The sequence below is a fragment of the Homo sapiens genome, chromosome 4 (assembly GCF_000001405.40).
Source record: "Homo sapiens chromosome 4, GRCh38.p14 Primary Assembly".
Taxonomy (NCBI): Eukaryota; Metazoa; Chordata; class Mammalia; order Primates; family Hominidae; genus Homo; species Homo sapiens.
In genome coordinates this window covers 187,237,890-187,261,046 of record NC_000004.12, presented here as the reverse complement: position 1 = coordinate 187,261,046, position 23,157 = coordinate 187,237,890, and the positions used below count along the sequence as shown (strand labels likewise).

General features: G+C 35.6%; 1 long non-coding RNA gene across 1 annotated transcript in view; it reads left to right on the top strand.

Annotated features, from left to right (window-relative positions):
• Nucleotides 1-486: 486 nt before the first annotated feature.
• Nucleotides 487-23,157, top strand: part of LOC107986335 (uncharacterized) — a 36,580-nt gene continuing 13,909 nt past the window's right edge. The window contains exon 1 of the long non-coding RNA XR_007058508.1: nucleotides 487-650. This is a non-coding gene — a long non-coding RNA (uncharacterized LOC107986335). The remainder of the gene's footprint in view (nucleotides 651-23,157) is intronic.

The following is a 23,157-nucleotide window of genomic DNA, read 5'->3' as shown; positions in this document are numbered from 1 at the left end:
TGGAAAATTTATACAATTTTAACTTAAAATTTTTAATTGCATGTTTAATCAATTTTTATAATATTTGCAATTAAAATTTTTAATGAACAATTTTTTAACTTTTAAATAATCATTTTAAGTAGTTTTTAAAACTAACATTATCTTGGTTATGTGTAGTCTTTTGTACTCCCATGTAAATTTTGGAATCATTTTTTCAATTTCTGCAAATTCTCCCATGATTTTGACTGAGATTACATTCAGTGAATACAATCAATCTCATCAGAATTGCCATCTTTATCATCTTCAATCTAGGAATGTGATGTTCAGAATCATTTTTAAATTTTTCAGTGTTACATAATATTTAGCATACAAACTCTTCATATCTATCATTTAATTTATTCCTAGGTATTTGGTGTGTTTGACAGCATTGCTTTTAAATGCTGTCATTTAAGTATTTATGTCATTAAAAATGTGTTTTTTAATTTTTTAATTTTTTTTTTTTTGTAGAGACAGAGTCTTCCTATGTTGCCCAGGCTGGACTCAAACTCCTGGCCTTAAGGTGTCCTCTTGCCTCAGCCTCCCAAAGTGCTGAGATTACAGGTGTGAGCCACCGTGTCTGGCCATACATACATACGTTCACGAGACACCCGAAACTGCTTATTTTATGGCAGGTGAGGTTGTTTTTGCTATTGATACTGAAGAAAGCTTTGCTAAAGCTCATTTAAGTTCACACATTAGCTTAAGGACAATGTCAAGTATAGATTCCAATAAGGTGGTACCCAATCAAGTGTGGAAATTGTCAGTGATCACAAAGAATGTGACGGAATAAATGGGAGACAGAGGAAATAATGTAAGTCATTATCAATAAGGTGAAGTTAAAATGCAAGCTTTTACCTCTATATAGATTATAGTCACAGGAAATATCTACATTGCCTAGCTTCATCTTCCTACATATTCATATTTGGGATAAATCAAATCTGTTTTAGAATTCTTAACCATGGCTCAGTACAAAAATATCCGTATGAAGACAGAATAGGTTAGCTCTACAAACAACAATTGACATCGTTGATATTAATATTTATTGATGTTTGTTATGTGCGAGGCACTATTTTAGGTGCTTTTACATATTAATTCATTTCACTATCATCTATGTTTTATTATTCTCATCTTTTACAAGAAGAAATTAGGACTTAGAAGAATTAACTGAATTTCTCAATATAAAAAGCAGGGTTGTCAAATTCCCCAGCCTATCATTTAAATCAAAAACCTACCATGTCTCTATTTTTAATCAAAGAATATAGCATTGGTTCATTGCATACATTTTTTGAGAGAGATACACACACACTGATTGAGAGCAAGATGCAAAGATCTAAATAGGTAAGTTCTGAAGCAGAATTGGAAATACTTACAACATTTCTATGTCTGAAATCATTACAATTTCAAATCTCTTTGTCAGATTTGCATACAGACTGTCTCTTTGAATGAATAAATTTCTCAGCATACAAACAATAATACTATTACAGAACTACCTCCCAGTGAGTATCTAACAAAATTAGCTTGCCTGTGGTACAAATGAGTATTTAAGTTATCAAATACTAAGTACAGACTCAAGTACTTGGAATTTACTTAGGTGGTTACTTTCTAAAGCTTGACTTTTCCTTTTTAGGTATACTCTGGCTCTTATTCTCACATTATCAAGTAATAGAAATTAGGTGTGCATGTGTGTTTGTAAGTGCACTGATTGTGAAGGTGTGTGTGCATGCGGTGAACATGTCCATGCCTCCTGCATGTGAGGCTGACAATGCCCCCAGGCTCCGCCAGCCACGACATTTCTAGGGCAGGGGAGTTGGAACTTTAGTACCTGGTGGCCAATGGAAAAACTACCTTGGATACAGGAATGGATCCAATGTGCTTTTTGGCTACAGTCCAACTCCTTGGGAGGTCACAGTTTTCAAATGTGAGTTTTTAGTTTTACATGTTTACTTATTTTTAGAGGGAACATCACTGGGGCTTTTGGGGGCTTAAACTCTTACTATTTCTTAAACATATTTCTTAAACTAAGGATATTTAGATATTGTCTTCCATGTACAACTTTAAATTCGGTTCAGAAACCCCAGGCAAGGGTATTCTGTGTGTCCTAACCCTTGAAGTTAATGACTTCTAATTAACTCAGCAAGAAGCTAATGACTTGTAAGCACTTGCCAATTGATTCGGAGTATTTTCTTTGTAAGATGAGTCTGGGCCGGCGAACTGGGAAGCCTCTGGCAGAGAGAAGGCACAGGAGGGTGGGGGATGGAGAAGTCATTCAAGATGAGTTCTGGAAGATATTTAGGGCAATGGAAAGTATAGTTGCAGCCTTTTTACCAATTATTTTTAAACTTATGAATGGTATTATAGATAAAGCTGCATGTTTTGGAGATTGTATAACCAAAACACCGTGAAAATCATTACCTTATGTCCGTTCAGCGACCTTAGTGTTTATCATTTGCATCAATTCAGCTACTGAAAGAGGAATAAACACACAAAATTCTATACGAGATGATTGATCCGACTAGATACTCCACTTATACAGCTATATTTCCTTTGCTTGATTAAAGGTGTTCCTTTAGAAGAGAGATAGTACATACATGATTATGAATCAAACACACATTCATTGAGAATCTGCACTGGGGCCGGCCTCCAGGCAACGCCTTGGGTATAAAAAGACCAATGATCTCTAGCCCCTCTCCAGGAGTTGACAGTTTATGGCTGAGTTTACACTGTCCCAGATTAACAAAGGGTCACTAGAGGAAGGAGCTCTATGACAAAGAAATCCTCCACAAGGACAGTACATTTAAAAATACTTGGCCGGGCGCGGTGGCTCACGCCTGTAATCCCAGCACTTTGGGAGGCTGAGGCGGGCAGATCACCTGAGGTCAGGAGTTCAAGACCAGCCTGGGTAACATGGTGAAGCCCGTTTCTGCTAAAAATACAAAAAACTAGTCAGGCATGGAGGCACGCGCCTGTCATCCCAGCTGCTCAGGAAGCTGAGGCAGGAGAATTGCTTGAACCCAGGAGGTGGAAGTTGCAGTGAGCCAAGATCGCACCATTGCACTCCAGCTTGGGCAACAAGAGCAAAACTCTGTCTCCAAAAACAAACAAACAAACAAACAAACAAAACTTGCACAGACCTCTGGTGCCTTCCTACAAAGCACACATACACTTATTTACCCCTTACAATTTGCCATTTACACTGAAGTCCAGAAGGCTGACAAGGTACTCTCACTCTAAGGAAGACTTGGTGAAACTATAGTGGTGGCTGAACTCATTTGAACCACAAGAAATGGTTCAAAGAATGTTCAAAAACAGTCTACAGTCTTCAACTATGGAATAAGATACCTAGTTTAAGACTAACATTATTCAATAGCCTTATGCATTAAAAAGAGTAACTTATGAATAACTATTATTGGTTGCAGCAGAGTGATAAGCAACTGGAAAAATTGTCATTGTTAGTTACTGCACTTGAAGATAAGAAGACATAAAACAATTTACACATCCATGTTTCAATGTGCTATTAAAGAAGAATTTTGAAAAATAAATTAAATAAAGCAAAAAAATCAATGCAATAAACACTATCCCTTTTTTCTCCTTAGAAAACAGTTAAGGAGCAATTCAACCCTATAATTTTTTTCCAACAGAGGAATAAGAAGATGAGAGTTATCAGCAACACTGGGTACTCAGTAAGCCATGGGCCTCTCTGCCTTTAAACATCATCAATAACTTATTTCTCCTTGGTCTTGCAGCAGAATCACCCATGGACTCTTTCATTGTGCCTGGCACTCCTCTTTTTAAGTGCCTGCCAAAATGTCTTACTTAAGTCCTACGGCAAGAAAAAAATAATCAAATTAGGAGAGTAAAGAAAGAATAAGGCCATTGTCTGTGCAGGTACCGTCTGAGCTGGTCTGTAATTTTCCCCAGGAGGAAGCACTGGACTGAATTGGCAGCCCAGAGTCGTGGCTGTGTTCTCAGACTACCCGCCGCCCTTCTGTGTGACCTTAGGCAGGCCTCTTTATCTCACTGGTTTTCTCACTTTGGCTGGTTGTGCACTAGTGCTCGTGCTTGAGTGCATGTGCAAGCTTCTGGCCATGGCTTATCAGACACATCATAGCCTCAAGTTTTATGGGGGGACTATCTCCTTAGTTTGGTTTGGTGGTATTAGTTGATTTCAGTAATTCTGATGAAAAGTATGTATGTATATAACTATGTATATATGAGTGTGTTTATATAAAGATATATATAATAGATTTATACAGTTATAACATATATCCTAATAAGCCTTATAAGGTGATGAACAATTACTTACAGGAAGCACCTTTTTGTACACACAAGTCAGTTTGAGAACCGCTAGAACGATAATCAGGATTTTTTATTATTTTTTTTATTTTTTTTGAGATGGAGTCTGCACTCTGGAGTGCAGTGGCTGATCTCGGTTCACTGCAAGCTCCGCCTCCCGGGTTCACGCCATTCTCCCGCCTCAGCCTCCCGAGTAGCTGGAACTACCGGCGCCCGCCACCACGCCCGGATAATTTTTTGTATTTTTAGTAGAGATGGGGTTTCACCGTGTTAGCCAGGATGGTCTCGATCTCCTGACCTCATGATCCGCCCGCCTCGGCCTCCCAAAGTGCTGGGATTACAGGCGTGAGCCACCGCGCCCGGCCCAGGATTACTGTTTTTTAAGGATCCATGCATCTGATTGCCTCTAAGAACAGAAATTAAGATGACAACTCAGCAATATAACACCAACATGTCAGAAAATAAGATAAACTCATTGATTTTTCTTACAAAACAAAACCAAGATATATCAGGTTTTTGTTCTTGCTTTAGACCAGAGGCCAGCATTTCTCCCGTTTTCTCTTATTCACAACAGCCACTTTTTTTTCTCTATTGCTTTCTATATGATGACTCTCAGTGCCACTAATCCCAAGAGGGGAACCAGTTTTGAAAACACAAGAAAGTCCAACCCAAACTTTTTACACCAGTAAAACAAAGTATGTTATCCTTGCAGTAGAGAGATGGATCACCAATTGATTTTTCCTCTAAACTACTCAGTCCTCTGAGTAAAATTAACAAGAACAGATGTTACTATGCCCTATTGGTGTGGATAAATGTTTATGTAAAGAACCCCTAACAAAGCAGAAAATGCAAATGGTAAGGAATCACAGGCACAGAATCTTTGCCTTGCTACTTCCTCTGTCTGGAGGTAATTTTCCAAGATCGTTGCATAGTTTCTTGTTTCTCATTATTGAGGGTTCAGCTCAAATGTCATCTACAGAGAGTGGCCACTCTTAACTATCCCATCTGATGAAGTGCCCCAGACTCCCCTTTTCCACATTCCCTTGTGTAGTTTTTATAGCACTTTGATCTTTATTTATTGTTGTCTTGTTAATTGGCTGTCTCTCTCATTAGCCTGTAAGCTTCCCAAGAGCTGAGAGCTTGCCTGCCTGATTCACCACAGTTAATTTCGGTGCTGGAATCATGCTTGGCTTACAGTAGGCTCTCATGAATATCTGATCAGTGAATGAATGAATAAATGATATGCTCATTTTCTCATTGTAAAGAAAAGGATTGCATGGAAGTAAAAGGGTGACCAATTACGAACCAAGCCCAAGACTAATTTCACATGGAAGGGCTTATAGTTTACCAGACAATGCTTATTGCACACTTGAATTTTCAGACCTCAGCATATTAATCTCTGGAAATTCTGAGTATAGCAGCCATCTTAGATAAGTGTGGAGAATATGCAAAAATAATAAATAAATAGCAATGGCAACTGGAAAGTATTACTGTGAAGTAAAATCAACAAATCCAGACTTCTTTAAGTACCAACTGGCTCAAAGTTGAATTCCTAAGTAATTGAATTAGAATCAAGTTACCCTTCCTTTATGAATTTGCACTTTGAGATATACTAACTCTGTCAGCATTATAAACTCATGAAACATAGCAATTATGAATTAATCAAAGTAGATCGTAGCAATAAAAATTCATAATCCAGTTCTCACAGAGGTCTGTTATGGACAACCAACCAAACAATACAATACAAAACAATAGGAATTGTTTATTCCAATATATGTTCTAATTGTGTTAAACACTTTTTCATTATTTGATTTTGAATTTTCACTAAAAGAAAAACCTTAAGTAACAAATGGCATTTTCTTGGCCAGAAAGTAAAAATATGAGTTACATGACTTTTATATGTCATATATATTGTATGTTATATGACTCATATGTCATATATTATATGAATTTGAAAATATAATCAAAATAAATGAGCGAAATGATTTTGATCAAATCATGTTTCAATAATACTTGTCCAAAACATTTTCTTTTTTCCCCTATTTTAACTGTCTAAAGGTAAGGTAAAATTTTAGGTAGTAGCTTCAAGTGAGAAAAATTCAATTGCAGACTCACAATAGGCGTTCTTGCTATATTTAGGATCGAACAAAACCCAATGAGTTTATTCTGTACTGTATTAATATAGATGTAGAATAAAAGTTATGTTTAAGTTTTATACCTTTTCTTGGTTTTGCCATTTGGGAACATTTTTGTTTTATACTAAACCCCAGTGATGAAGATAAGTGTAATTCATTCCATTTTCTGTGCCCTCAAAATGAAAATTAGATAAAAATATCATAAGGAAATTTCAGAATCAGGATTCGTTTTACTGTGGAAAGTAGATATATATGGGGAAATGTAGATTTGCTAAACTCAATCATCTTTTTTCTTAAGGACAATCCAGGGTCTCTTTCTTTAATGTAATATTTTTTAAGACAGACTTCCAAGAAAAAGTGATTCTGAAAATGAGACATACCTGTGCTGGAATTCCATACAAAACACTGAAGATTTACCATCAAAAGCATGTCTTTGCATAGCTGAAGGTTTGGGGAAATATTAAACTTGCTCAGATAATAAATGTCAATTTGTTAAAATCAATGACACAAATTGTGAACTCATAAAAAGACTCATTATACAACATGGAGACTTGATGTGTGCCCAGCACAGGTGGACTGAAGGCTCCTCATGAGTATTCAGTAATCACCATGCACAAGTCATTCTAAAATATTTTTAAATCATCAGTTAGAATAATCTCTGAGCCTCTTCCTCACTGCCTCTTTTACTCATTAATCCAGAGATACTTGCAAATCACTTGCAAAATGTTTACTCATTAATCCAGAGATACTTGCAAAGCACTAATATCCTGGAAGATGATCAATAAATGCTGACAGTTGATTCACTGACATCTAAGATATGTCAGGTAAATACCTCAGTCCTGGACGGAAGAGCTTCTAAGCCACATGTGCCTTCTTGCAAGGTGAAGATTAAAATATGGAAATGTATGTACTCTTGCCACCCTCTGAATTTTTGTGTAATTAACACAATCTATGTCAGTTCTGAAAAACTTAGGTAAAACAGAAAAGGTTGTAGCGAAATTCAATATGTAACGTGCAAGAGAATATTATTTAATGGCTTTTTTGACTTATAAAAAGTCTCATTAATTGTACAGTTTTATTTTTACTTTAAGTGTTTTTTTTTTTAACTTTGAAGTTCAGGAGTACAAGTGCAGGTTTGTTACACAGGTAAACTTGTGTCATGGGGGTCTGTTGTACAGATTATTTCATCAGCCAGGTATTAAGCCCTCTACCCATTAGTAATTTTTCCTGATTCTCTCCCTTCTCCCACCCATTAACCTCTACTCTCCGAAAGGCCTCAATGTGTGTTGTTCCCCTCTATGTGACCAGTGTTCTCATCATTTAGCTTCCACTTATAAGTGAGAACATACAGTATTTGGTTTTCTGTTCCTACGTTAGTTTGCTAAGGATAACAGTTTCCAGCTCCACCCAGGTCCCTGTAGAGGACATGATCTTGTTCTTTTGTATGGCTGCATAGTATTCCATAGTGTATATGTACCACATTTTCTTTATCCAATATGTCATTGATGGGCATTTGTGTTGATTCTGTGTCTTTGCTTTTGTTAATAGTGCTGCAGTGAACACACATGTGCATATGTCTTCATAACAGAATGATTTATATTCCTTTGGGTATATATACAGTAATGGGATTGCTGGGTTGAATAATATTTCTGTTTTTAGGTCTCTGAGGAATCACCACACTGTTTCCCACAATGGCTGAACTAACTTAAACTATTCATATTTCCTGAGTTCTCCTGTTTTTCTTTCTCACGCTCATTGTTGAACAGAAATTTGCTATTCTTTTCATGGAACCACTGTTGAAGGCATTGTCATTTGAATATGATTTCCTTCTTTAAAATTAAGTGCAGAGATGATATTATAATATCACATTCTCATGGCACCCTGGTCATAGTCCTGAGGAAATATTGACAAAGTTGTTATTTTTAGATTTGAGTACTCATAATAATATGTGTGAAAATCAGGCTAAATAGCACATTAGAGCCTGTCCCATTAAGAAGGTCAGGAAAAATTAGGTCAAGAAAAAGTGTTAAAATCTTAGATTAAGTTTTTAAATTTCCTATCTGTCAAGTTATATCCACACTCAGCCTTCCATCCCTCTTCTAATTTTTACATATTTTAGAGATTCCTGATAACATAAAAATGAATGAAAAATAGCTCAAAATAGAGTTCAATCTTCAGTTTATTGGGGGAGAGAAACATGGAAATTATAACTAAAATACAAGCTAAGATGTGTAGAAATTATAATCTTCATGCATTGCTAGTAGGAATGTAAAATAGTGCAGCCAGTTTGGAAAATAATTTGGTAATTCCTCAAAATGTTGAGCACAGAATTATTACATCTTCCAACAATTTCACCCCTAGGTATTTACCCAAGAGAAATAAGAACATATGTCTGCACAAAAACTCACACAGGAATGTTCATAGCAATTTTATTCATAAAAGCTAAAGCTGGAAACCATCCAACTACATCCACTAATGAGTAGATAAACCAAGTGAGGCCTATCCATACAATGGAATACCACTCAGTGATAAAGAGGAAGGAAGTGCTGACGCATGCTACAACATTCTAAGTGAAAGAAAGCAGTGACGAAAGACTTCGTATTATATTTATCCATTCATATGAAATGTCCAGAGGAGGCATCTATAGAGAAAGAAGATAGATTAGTGGTTCCTGAGAGTTGAGGACAGAGAGGTCGGTAGAGATGGGGAGAAGGCATGGGGAGCCACTTCTAATAAGTACAATAGATTTGGAGTGACAAAATGGTCTAAAATTAGATGATATGGTTGTTCAACTTTGTGATTTGATACACTGGAGTTGATCAATCACCTGATAACTGTGATCTCTGGTTTAGCAGGAACGCAGATATTCAGCTCAGAAGCAAGAATATGCTGTAGGTGCTGCCGAAGGGAGAACTAGAAAGACAAGAAATGAAAATGTGCCATTAATTTTTGACATCAGCTCCTGGCTACTAGATGACAGGATATCGGAAATGGACACATTTACTTTTAGTAAGCCATTTGCAGCTAATAATGTGGGAACCAAATATCTAGTTTATGTGCAACAACTTTCCCTTGATGCTCCTGGAGACCGTGGCTCACTGACAACAGAGCGGTCTCAATGAACCTGGACATGCCCTAGAATCCTTGAGCAGCCCTCTAGGAAACCACTGACAATCAAGTCGCGTTTGCATGCACGATAAAAATTTGCTTGCCGGCACTGGATATGGGTAATGAGAATTATCTTAATTAACAAAATTATTCTGACCGTATTTCTCCCTTTCATATAAAGACCTACCACCACCAGTTTAAGACTGAAGACCAGCTATTAGGAAATCTATTATTCTTGTACAGCAAGGTTCCAGCTTAAGCAAGCATACCTTTCCCAGTGTATGTGCATTGTAATCCTTTACTGTAAACATTGGATGAAAGGATTTCCTTTTGGTGGTAAAGAATTCCAGGCATCTGAGAGCAAATGGAAGAGTTTATTTCAGGAAGACTTTTTCCCAGAATCCCTGTGAACGCGCACCACGTGTTTGGGGCTAATCCACCTTTTGCAGAAGTCACACCACCTGTATTTCACTCACCAGGCCTGCTCTAGACAAAAAGAATTTGAGAGAAAGTCTGATCTGATCCATTAAAGTATAATACATAAAGGCAAAGACTGCACACAGTTCATTTTATAGATCAGTTCAGAAGTCTATCAAATCTTAACTATCCCTCAATATTCTATAGACCTAAAGTTAAAAGTTATATATATATATATATAAAATCACCTAGTATATTCTTTCATTTCCCCTATTAGCCAAAGTGATGGAGAAAAATCAACCAGCTGTTTCCACAATCTAAGCTCCTGAATCCTTTTAACAACTGTCAGAAGCCTCCTGTCTTGTAAATGCACTCACACACACACTTAGGAGATTATGACAATCTAAGGAAATCATATTAACTTAATTGAATGCACATACACACTTTCATGCCAAGGGCAGAAATTCACAGTGTCTGAAGGGAAAACCTTGTCTCCTTCTCTTTTCTCTCCTCTTAAAGTGCTCCCATTGTTCTTTGTTTCGTGTCATGATACTGCCAAGAACAATGAAGGGTCCGAGATTTTTATCCTACTTGGAAGCTAATAAGTTAGCCTGGCACAGTCTCATGGGTTCTGTCAAAAGTCATGGGACTCACAGGTCAGAGGCAAAGGACTTTATTACTCAAGAACCATCAGTAGCCAGAGTATCAGCATTTTCTTGTCTTACTTCTGCAAGCTTAATTCCTAAAGGGCAACTTAAAGAGAAGTAGAGGACACCTGTACCTGCAGTGGCAATACATTGTATTACAGGAGAGGAACCCTGCCTTTAGGTTCCCCAGTATTTTATATTGTAGGCAGTAAGCCTACAATAGGGCTTCTAAAGGAAGATATTGTTGTTATTTCAGCAAACCTGCTCTTTCCCTGGAGAGAGACACTTATCTTTATCTTCCAAGGCATCTGCTACTAAACAAATCCTTGAAAAAAATAGCACGGAAGACCAGCAGTTACCACCTCTGCTCCCAAGACATGCCAAAATGCAAAAGACGAAAAGAGGATTGTCTCCCAACAGAGATCTACAATGAATTCTTATTTGCTAGTAAATATAGTTTAGTTCCTACTAAGAGCAACATAAACCCAATTAAACTAATAGTGGTCGATAGTTTTCAACATAATGTTTATGAATTGATTGACAGTATTTTTCCCACAGTTACATGATAGTAATTTAATCAATCAATTACTATCATGTAACTGTGGGAAAAATACTGTCCATATATAAATTCAGAAAATATAACATTTCAAAAGAAAATTGTTGCCATTTATCCCTTTCTTACTCCAACAGGGTAAACACATAGAAAGCAGTCAGGGGAAAGTTTTATAATTAGAGAAGTAGCTTCACCCATATACAATCAATCATTTAAACATAATGCAGTACGTATTAGTCATTGATTCGTCTTTGTGACAAATTTGTAAAAAATATGAAAATTAATTTTGTGTGACCCAGAAAATCAGTTTTTTAAATCAACTATGTAATTGACTAAAATAAACATGATACAGTTATGCTACAAAATGACAACTCACTTCAGATTTTATAATCCAAATCTGTAATGAAGTAATAGGATTGCTAACTAGAAATAAAATTTGACATATAATACCCTGTAATATTTAATAAAGCAACTGAAGTGACACCAATATTTTGGCTGTAAATTTGACAGATCTGTAAAGTGCCATCACCCATTCACATGGCTTACATAGAAGCTTTGCTCACTGTTCGGCACAAGCTATGATTCCACTTCCAAGCATATTTCTGCTTATGAAGGATGCTCGTCTCTCACTTTGGGCAGGTGAGCCCTGCCTACACTCGTAGCTGCAGGGTTGGCACCTCATATAGAAGACCCTAAACAAGTAGGGCATTTTTAGGAGTTGCCACAGAATGAATATAAATCTTTCGAGTTGTATATCCATCATTGTTCCAGCACCAACTTGATCCAAGACCACACCTAGTGAGCTCTAGACAGAATTGAATATCTTGGGCCACCTGAGCTTCACGCTGTTGTCTGTGAAAGTAACCATGGCTTGAAATCTTTAAATATATCGCATTATAATACTTTGGCTCTTGTGTTCTCAAATTGTCTATTTCTCTCTAAACATAAGTTTAAGGGAGCACATATCAAGTTATCATAGTTCAACTGAAGACCTTTGAAGAGGCAACATTGTTCTCCTTTAGAGTAAGCCTACATACGCAGATATTCAAATATTTTCTCTCTGTCATGCCCCTTGTTTGTATATTGCACTGAATTTCAGCTCACGTTAACGGTTCGCTTGCCATCGGGCTGACTTGTGTCTTGTGCTAGCACTTTCCTCATTCTTCCATCACAGCACATAAATCTTCACTCTGTCCACATTAGCCCATTTCAAGTCATTCTCTCGAGGTATGGCTTCCTGATCAGCATGTTGCTGCCTGTGCCCTAGCATGGAAGAAAACCAGCATCCCTTCCATCCTTTAGTGACAGTTGGCTCCAGGGGATATTTAACCTTTTAAGCACACTGCTACAACATGCAGAATAATGACCACTTCTGCTTTTTCTCTACTTTATGCTCTTCTGAGCGGCAGAGGTATACGACTAAATGAACCCAGCAAACAAGGCTTATATTTGTCTTCTGTGTAGAGTCATAATTAGTTTGTTCTTTCTTATAAAATGCAAAATGAACAAGATGGATTCAAGTGGTTGCTTCAAGTAATTATGTAAGTAAGATATGTGTGCACACTGCTAAGTGAGTCCAAAATCTTTAGTAAATTCTCTTCAACTATGACTAGTATGTAGTAAGCAATGTTTTAACTTTTAAAATCTCAGTGAGCATGTCTATTTTTTCTTTATCATGCTTAGATTTTATTAACATATTGGCATACAGATTTTTCTGTTTATATTTAAAGTTTAGTTGGCATAGAAATGCTCTAGAAAGGTTTATGATTAAGTCTAAAATCTGAATTACCTAAAGAGCACTTGTTAAAAATTGCTTCAATGCACTTACTGAAACTAATAGTCAACAGCTTGGATTTTATGTACTTCTTCTGCCTAAGAGCTTGCTATGAATTAAGTCTGCATGGCCTGACAATAACATTATCTGAACATTCAAAATTAATTACATTGCCGTAAATATTCTTCAGGAAACTACATAAATCAATGTGAAATTCTAAACGGAGCAAAAGGCTTATTTGCTTCATAATATACCTATTTATTTTCTAAAAATTATAGCATTGAGATTTTTGAAATTAGCCATCATTCCATCAAAATTTGCCTTACACCGCTACCTAACTATAATCAATCAGGAATGAATAGAGAATGTATTCAACATTTATAACCACCACTCAATAATTCATATCTAATGAACCAGAAAATATTCTAACTTGTATTATAATTATTTGCGTATGTGTTTATATTACCTCTGGACTCTACCTTATTGTTGTCAGCCAAAGCACCTAGTGCAGCACGTTGAACATGGATATATATACATTTGTAGGAGAACAGAGAGAGAAAGAGAGAAAAGAGAGTGAGAGAGAGAGCTGTTGGATTACTTTATTAATTATTTTGACATTTGCAGAAGTTAAATATAAGCTTAATTGTAATTAGGCAAGGCTACCATAAAAAGATTCCAATAAACACAACTCTTAATGATTAATAGTATTTTTAAACTTCTGAGTAAAATTTACTTTTAGAATAAGTTGGAACTATGAAGAAAAATATGTCAATCTCTGGGATAAGTTAAGTTCATAGATCTGTTTTCTTGTTTTAATTTTCTAATATTTTACAAGGGCATTTGATGTATTCTAAATTAAATATATTTAAATATACTTACATTTTATAAACAATATTTTCCCCTAATATGAAATCCTTCCATCTTTATTTTCAAACACTTTTATTTAACTATGACTTTTAAAAAGTGGTATTTTTACTAATGGTAATCAAGTTACTTAATAATCATAAATTTTTACAATAAGCTTTTTTTTTAACTTTTGACTCCTAAGAATTTGGATCATCAAAATAAGGAACATTTTCTTTCTTTCTCTTACCTTTGAGGCTTTTCATTTTTCTCTTGTAACTCCAACATCTCGCAGTGTCAAATCAGCATTTTTCTAATAGCCTCAACCTGAATTACCTTTCTATTGACCATTTCTAAATACTGATATCAAACACTGTAGTCCACGCTGTAAATATCTCCTATTGCCTAATCACCATTACAGTTCATAAGTAGTGTTGTTTTTACCTAAAGTTAAACTCAAACCCTATCATACTTTTTCTTCCTCACTTTCCTGTTTGCATCAGTGGCACCTATATCCCCAGTGACACATGCCTGAATAATTCTTCATACTCCTTACTTCCCAAGGTGACAACCATCTTGTTCTCTCAATTATGCTAGCATTTGACTTTTGTTGGGAAAGGATTGGAATCACAGACTGGCAGACTTCTGATGCTTGAAGGTGTGGAAGTATTCACCAGAGTCCTATTTTAAGGTTGTTAGATGCTCTTTCAGCAAGAAGCAGCATGCTACTTAAAAACGCAGCTCAAGACAGAACAACATCAGCAAGATAGTAGATAGAAGTTTCCAGCCCTCATCCCTTCCAGAAACATTAATTTGAACAATTATTCACAAATAAAAATACTTTCACAAGAGCCAAGGGAACCAGATGAGAGGTTACAGCACCTGGGTAGAGCACAGGAATAAGAAAACACACATTGAAGAGGGTAGGAGAGTTTCATATTACTTTTGAAACTCCTCTCCTAAGCCCAGGAAGCACTGTGCTGAGAGATACCTCCACAAAGGTAAAAGAGAGGAAAATGAGAACCTGACTTTGCCACAGACCCTGCTACCAAGCCCACCCCATTAAACCCTGGTGTTAGGCCAGCCCCTGCAGACACGGGCTCCAGGTCAAAGGCAGCAAACTTGAGCAACAATAAAGATTACATGGACCTAACAGACATATATTCGACACTCCATCCAACAGCAGCAGAATACACATTCTTTTCAAGTACACAGGGAACATTCTCCAGGATAGATTATATGTTAGGTCGCAAAACAAGCCTTAACAAATTTAAGAAGATTAAAATCATATCAAGTATCTTTTCTAACCACAATACTATAAAAGTAGAAATCAATGACAGGAGGAATTTTGGAAAATTCCCAAATATGTAGAAATTAAACATGTTCCTGAACAATCAATGTGTCAAAGAAAAAAATTAAAAGAAAATTTAAAAATATTTCAAGACATAAAAATGAACATGCAATATACCAAAATATATGGGATACAACAAAAACATTTCTAATAGATTTACAGCAATAAACACCCACATCAAAAATGGAGAAATCTCAAACAACTTAATGTTACATCTCCAAGAATTAGAATAAGAACAAAGTAAGCCCAAATTTAGTAGAAGAAAGAAAATAATAAAGATCAGAGCAAAAATAAATAGACATCAGAAAAAACAATAAAAATATTAACCAAATTGAGCTGATTTTTTGAAAAGATAAACAAAATTCCAAAACCTTTAGCTAGACTAAGAAAAATATAAGACATAAAAATAAAATCATAAATGAAAGAGATGACATTACAACTGACACCACAGAGGTGCAAAAGGTATACCAACAATATGGATAACCTAGAAGAAACAGATACATTCCTGGAGACAAACAACCTACCAAGATTAACTGATGAAGGAGTAGAAAACATGAATAGACCAATAAAGATTAAGGACATTGAATTAGAAATGATAAAAAAAAAACCCTCAAAAACATCAAAGAAAACCTCATGACTTGATAGCTTCACTGCTGAATTCTACCAAACATTTAAAGAAATTATACAAGTTCTTCTCTAACTCTTCCAAAAAATTGAAGAAAAAGGAATACTTTCAAGCTCATTTTACAAGGCCAGCCTTATCTTGATACTAAAATCAGACAAGAAGGCTACAAGAAAAGAAAACTACAGGCAAATGTCACTGATGAATACAGATGTAAAAATCCTCAACAAAATACTGGCAAACTGAATTCAATACCACGTTCAAAGGATCACTCACTGTGATTGAGTGGGACTTATGCCTGGAATACAAGGATGGTTCATCATACACAAATCAACAAATGTGATACATCAGATTAACATAATGAAGGACAAAAAGTATATAATCATTTCAGTAGATGCAAAAAAAAAAAGCATTTGACAAAATTCAACATTCTCTCATGATGAAAACTCAACAAATTAGGTATTGAAAAAATGTACCAGACCACAATAAAGACCACACATGGACAAGCCCATGGAAAACATCACACTCAATGGAGAAAAGCTAAAACCTTTTCCTCTAAGGCCAGAAACAAGAGAAAGATGCCCACTGTCACCACTTGTCAACGTAGTACTGAAAGTTCTAGCAAATTATGTAAGAGAAAGAAACAAAAAACCTCCAAATTGAAAAGGAAGAAGTTAAATTGTCTCTGTTAGTAAATGACATGAATTTTTTATATAAAAAAACTAAAAGCTCCACAAAACCTGTCAGAACTAACAAATAAATTCAGTAAAGTTGAAAGACATAAAATCAACATACAAAAATTAGTAGAATTTCTATACACTAACAATGAACTATTCCAAAAAAGAAATGAAGAAAACAATCCTTTTTACAGTAGCATCAAAAAAAAAGATACTTAGAAATAAATTTAAGGAGATAAAAGATTTGTACACTCAAAAGTATAAAACATTGATGACAAAAATTGAAAAATATAAATAAATGGAAAGATATCATGTGTTCATGAATTGGAAGAATTAATATTGTTAAAATGTACATACGACCCAGGGACATCTTCAGATTTAATGAAATATCTACCAAAATTTTAATGGCACTTTTCACAGACATAGAAAAAGAAATTCTAATATTTGTTTGGCACCACAAAAGACCCCAAGTAAACAAAATACCCTGGAGCAAGAACAAAGCTAGAAACATCCCACTGCCTGGTTTCAAAATATACTGCAAAGCTATAATAAACAAAACAGCATGGTACTGTTATATAAACAGACATATTAACCAAAGGAACAGAATACACAAACCAGCAACTCATACACTGTTGGTGGGAATGTAAATTAGTACAGCCATTATGGAAAAGAGTATGGTGGTTCCTCAAAAAACTAAAAATAGAATTACTATATAGTCCAGCAATCTTACTACTGGTTGTGTATTCAAAGGAAAAAAAAATCAGTATGCTGAAGAGATATCTACACTCTTATGTTTATTGCAGTACAATTCATGATATCCAAGATATGAAACCAACCTAAGTGTCCAACAACAGATGAACGGATAAAGAAAATGTGGTGTATATGCATGTTGGAACACTAATCAGCCATAAAAACGAATGAAATTTTGTCAATCACATAAATATAGATGAGTCTGGAAGACATTATGTGCAATAAAATAGTCCAGGCACAGAAAGATGAATATTGCATGTTCTCACTCATATGTGAAAGCTAAAAAAGTTGATCTTACAGAAGTAGAGAGTAGAATAAAGAGACTAGGAAGTGTAGTCAGGAGAGGAGGCTGGGGAGAGGTCAGTTAATGAATACAAAATCATAGCTATCTAGGAGGAATTAGTTCCACTGTTGTATAGCATTGTAGCATGACTATAGTCAACAATTTTTGTATACTTTAAAATAGCTAGAAGAGAAGATTTTGAATGTTCCCAGCACAAAGAAATAAGTGTTTGAGGTAATGAATTTACTAATTGTGCTGATTTGATTATTACACATTGTACACATTTATCAAAATGCCACACCGTACTCCATAAATATGTACAATTATTATGTGTCAATTAAAAATGGTAATAATAAAGAATTGTCAGTTCAGAAATAAATGCACCCATTTACAGTCAATTGCTCTCTCACAAAGGCACCAATAACACGCACGAATAAAAGACAGTCTCTTCAATAAGTGGTGTTAGGAAAACTGAATATCTACATGCAGAAGAATGAAATTGTATCCTTATGTCACATCATATATAAAAATCAACTCAAAATGGGTTAGTCTTAAATGTAAGACCTGAAACTCAAAACAACTAGAAGAAAACATGGAGCTATTTGATGTAGATTTGGAGAATGATTTTTTTGATAAAATAGCAAAAAGCACATGCAAAACAAGCAAAAATAGACTGCATCAAACTAAAAAGCTTCTACAAAGCTAAGAAAATCAATAAAATAAAGAGACAACCCATGGAATGTGAGAAAATATTTGCAAGTAAATATATGATAAGAGATTAATATTCAAAATATGCCAAGGACTCTAATAACTCAATAGCAAGCAAATATCATGATTAGCAAATAGGCAATGGACCTGAATAGACATTTCTCAAAAGAAGACATGCAAATGACCAACAGGTATATGGAGAAATGCTCAACATTGCTAATTATCAGGGAAATGCAAATTAAAACCACAAGGAGATATCACCTCATAACTGTTAGAATGGTTATTGTCACCATGTGAGTTGGTGGATATGTTAGCTTGATTGTGGTAATCATTTCACATTGTATATGTATAAGACACCACATTGTATACATTAGATATATACAATTATATGTCAATTATATTTCAATAAATCTGGGAAAAACAATCCTATTGATATTTTCATCAAAAACAATAAAGTAAATGTGCATAGGAGTACACAACAAAAAAGTACAAAGTTTATATTTTGAAAATTACTTTTGAAAACACTTGTACAAAATGTTGAGAACATCTCTGTTAATGGTAGTTACAAACTGGAAACAACCAATGTCGAACAGGAGAAAGGATAAACAAGTTGTTGTAGATTCATACAATAGAATGAATTAACTACTGATACTCTCAACATGGTTGAATCTCAGACATTATACCAAGTGAAGGAACCTGGAAAGAGAAGAGTATATATTATATAATTTCATTTACATGAAGTTCTAGACTAGGTGAACTAATTTATCATTATGGAAATCAGAATAGTGGTTTCCTGTGGCTATGCAGATTAACTGAAAGGGGCTAAAAGAAAATTTTCAGGCATGATAAAAAATATCCTATATCTTGATGTGGACAGTGGTTTCATGAGTGGTTGCATTTATCACAACTCAGGAAGTTGCACAAATAAGATCAGTGCATTTTTTCTTTGTAAGTTTCTAAAGTTTACATTTATAATGCTTTTTAAAAACTCAAGAACTGTAGTATGCCCTATGCCCTCCTGTGTCAAGTCATCTTGACTATTCAGGTAAATACAACATGGAGAAGTTGGATTACATTCAAGATGCAACAGCAAGATGCCTCAAAGTCCTTGTATATCTCTATCAGGATTTAGGAATGTTCATGACCAAAGATGAAATTTGATATCATTCGAGGTAGACCAAAAATTAGTAAATATGTCATTCATAATGTTACACTTTTTTCAAGCTCTTTTGCGAGCCTAGCTGCTGAAGGTATTATAAATTATCAAATATTTATCCACGAACATGAACTATTCCAAATAGTGTGGATTTTCTATGCTTTTCCGGTATGTCATAGAGAGATTAGATTTTTTTTTTTTTTTTTTTTTTTTTTTTGAGACAGAGTCTCCCTCTGTCGCCCAGGCTGGAGTGCAGTGGCACGATCTGGGCTCACTGCAAGCTCCATCTCCCAGGTTCACGCCATTCTCCTGCCTCAGCCTCCCAAGTAGCTGGGACTACAGGCGCCTACCACTACGCCCGGCTAATTTTTTGTATTTTTAGTAGAGACAGAGTTTTCGCCATGTTAGCCAGGATGGTCTTGATCTCCTGACCTCATGATCTGCCCGCCTTGGCCTCCCAAAGTGCTGGGATTACAGGCGTGAGCCACTGCGCCCAGCCAGATTTTTATTTCTTAATCCAAAAGTAGGGTAAATTATCCTGGAAAACTTAAATTGAGAATTCAGATAAGGTTGCTTTGTGATAAGTATCTCACAAGTCAGGTTTTTTTCACTGTCCTAGTTATAGAGGACCTCATGGAATTTGGTCCTATCATGACATTCAAGACATAAAATATACACGAATTTAAAAAATATATAGAACGTTTAGTTCCATGAAACAACACCTTGATCTTCACTTGAAGATTCTCTTTCATGTAGCTAAGGAAAGGAGTGACCAGCTTCTCTCTCCTTTTCTATCTTTTTCAATAGCTATTACTTCTGTTCTTCCAGGTTGGGGCATGAGCGAATGAGGGTGGAAAAGGGGATCAGGAAAATCCTCCTTGAGCAGGTACATTGGTAAACAGGTTTCATTCTCCGAGTCTGGAAGTTGTTTCATGGGAACGCTCTACTACATGGGTGTTACTAGGTTTTCCGCAACCTTCCTCCTGCCTTTCTGCACCCACCCTCCACTCATCAGAGGAATATCTATCTGACTTGTAATTCTTCTCTATTCTGTCCACTTACTTTTTCTGTACCTTTTCAGAATTCAGCAGTCAAGGTGCAGCACTTCTCTTTATGCTTAGCCACATAGGGCTGTGGATGTAAGGACAGGCAGGAGGAAAGGGGTTAAATTATCTACACTAGGATTCCTTTCCCCACCTTGATCTGGCCATTAGCCAACCTTGTTCTATCCATCTCTCTTTGGGTAAAATTGTAAAAAAGACATGCTGAGACAAGATATTGACGGACTGAGCTATATGAAGGAAGGGTAGGTTCACCCATCAGAAGAGCTCCTTCCATTCGGCATTTAAAAAAGGAAATAATGTGGTTTAAGCTTTAAGTTCATAAGTTAATTAAATACCCATTGTATTTTATAAAAACTCAGAGGTTTGTAAATCTATTAAAAAAACAAACCATAGAACAATTTTTCCTCTAACAATAAAAAGATAGATTCTATTTGGTGGGGCAGGGGGAGAGACTGACTTAGTAATAACGTGAAAGCCTAAATGTTTTGGTTTTATACATATTCAGCCATGGCTGTGTAGAGCTGACCTAATTTGATCACTGGTACAATTCAGTCTCAACCTCCATTCTATCTGTCACATGGAATTTTTAAGCAGAAATTGCCTAAGACCTTAAATTTGACTTTCAAGCAACAGTGTAGAAAATCCCACAACGGCTAAAAATGTTGGCACAGGGAATGGAAAAGTGAGCTTTATGAAAACAAAAGGACATACTTCCGAAAACAATTAGACATTCTTCAAAGAACTTCTCTCAAAATTAAAGCATGTGCTGGCTGGATAGAAACCCCACACCAACCATTTCTATTAGAAGGTTAAAATTACACCAATTCAATGCCAGAGCTTTTAGTGCAGTATTGATATTGAAGTGCAATTTTTAATTCAATGGAATAGAATTCTCCAGTATAGTTGAACCCAAAGCTATGGTTAATGTAAAAAATAAAAAGGACACTTGGTGATTTAAGTATTGTGACTAACAGCATATGTTTGTGCATTTCAAGTTTTGAGATATTCAGAAATAAATTGATGATAACTAATTTGTCCACTACAAACAAAAAAAAAAAAAAAGGAAAGGAAGGCAGGTACAAAGGGAGGAAGGAAGGGAAGGAGGAAGAAGGAATGGAGGGAAGAAAGGAGAAAGGAGACTGACAACAGGCAAGAAGATTAGAAGAAAGCTCTAATGTCTTTCTATAACTTGTATTTTGCTTTGTTATTTATAATAAAAAGCTTGAAAACATGCTCATTCAGAGACTTACCAGAAACGATTACATGAAAAGAAAAATCAATCAAATGTATCTTGCCTAGACCAGAAATCCAGTGAATTTCTAATTGTCTAACACCAAATTATCCATTCAGAAACAACTTCTAGGAGAAAAACAAAATTAGTCGGACTCTAAAGCCAGCAGGTCCAACTTCTGAGACTCATGAAGCTATAACAAAGCCCTCGCCAGGTGAGTGCATGGTAACCATGGCCAGCATCTAGCCCATCAAGGCTATGGGGAAGCGTGAAGAAGGGCTAGAAAACCACAGCTCTGCATGGGGACTTCTTATGCTTCTGGTGATGGTAGGTATTATTTGACTACCGCTGTGAAATTCAAATTGAAATTCGAATGCATATGTCCTTTCCTCTATCTTCACATTATCCACTTGTGTGTCTCTATGCTGTACACATAGTTAATCTGTTAGAGTTCATACTTGCCTACAGTCAGTCTGGTTATGAACAGTTTCACTAATTGCTCAATAATTATTATTAATATCTATTTCATAATACAACAGAAACTAAAATCCCTGTTGTTTTAGATGAAGAAATATGAGGCTTAGCTTGTACCATGAACTTGCCCAAGGCCATTTACACAGCTAGTAAGTGTCAACATTAGAAATTGAACATATGTCTTACTTAATTCAGGGCCCATGCTCAAAAACACCATTGCTCTTCATCTTTCCCCCATGGAGTTGGTCTCCTGTTCTCCATGCTTCCCTAGCACCCCCTGTCAGGAGAAAAGTGCTCTCATAAATCAATACTTACTATGATAGGTCCCTGAATATTTTGGTCAACTTCCACTGCCCATCTAATGAATTGTATTTTTAAAGAAGCTACCTAAATATCTAGAAGGGCAATGAGTAATTCTATCAAAAGGCTTTCTATCTGGATGAATGGAGGGTGTAGGGGCAGGTGAAATAATGAGAACTAAATTCCCTCTCTTATCACCTTATGGAAACAACTTCTAACTCCATCTAAGTGGAAGCAAAGGCCTTGTGGGTTCTTTCCTGCCTTTGGACTGTAAGTTGCACAAAAATATATACCCTTGGAAGAGTATGATGACAATGACAGACAACAAGACTGAATACAAAACCATTTCTGCATAATTGTCAAACAGTTATTTTTTATTTACAATTCCTATTAGGATGTAAAATACATCCTAACTCAGTTCTTTAAAAATTAATATAAAATAGCATATATGCCTTAGGCCTGGTAATCTCTTCTATTAATAAATTTCATTTCCAGGAATCAAGCCATCTTCCTTAGAATATCATCAAAAATCCAGTGGTTTTGCCCCAGCCAGTTCATTAGCTTATGTCCACACATGAACTGGCATCCTTAAAATTTTTATAAATTTTCTCTACAATATGTGTTTTAATCAAGTCTTTTTTTATGACCTAAAATAACCTAAGGGTTCAACTGTCTTTCTTTACATAACATTGGCTGCTCTTCTGGCAAAATCAGAAGTCCTTTTACCCTGTCTTTTTTTTGTGCAGCTTTTCC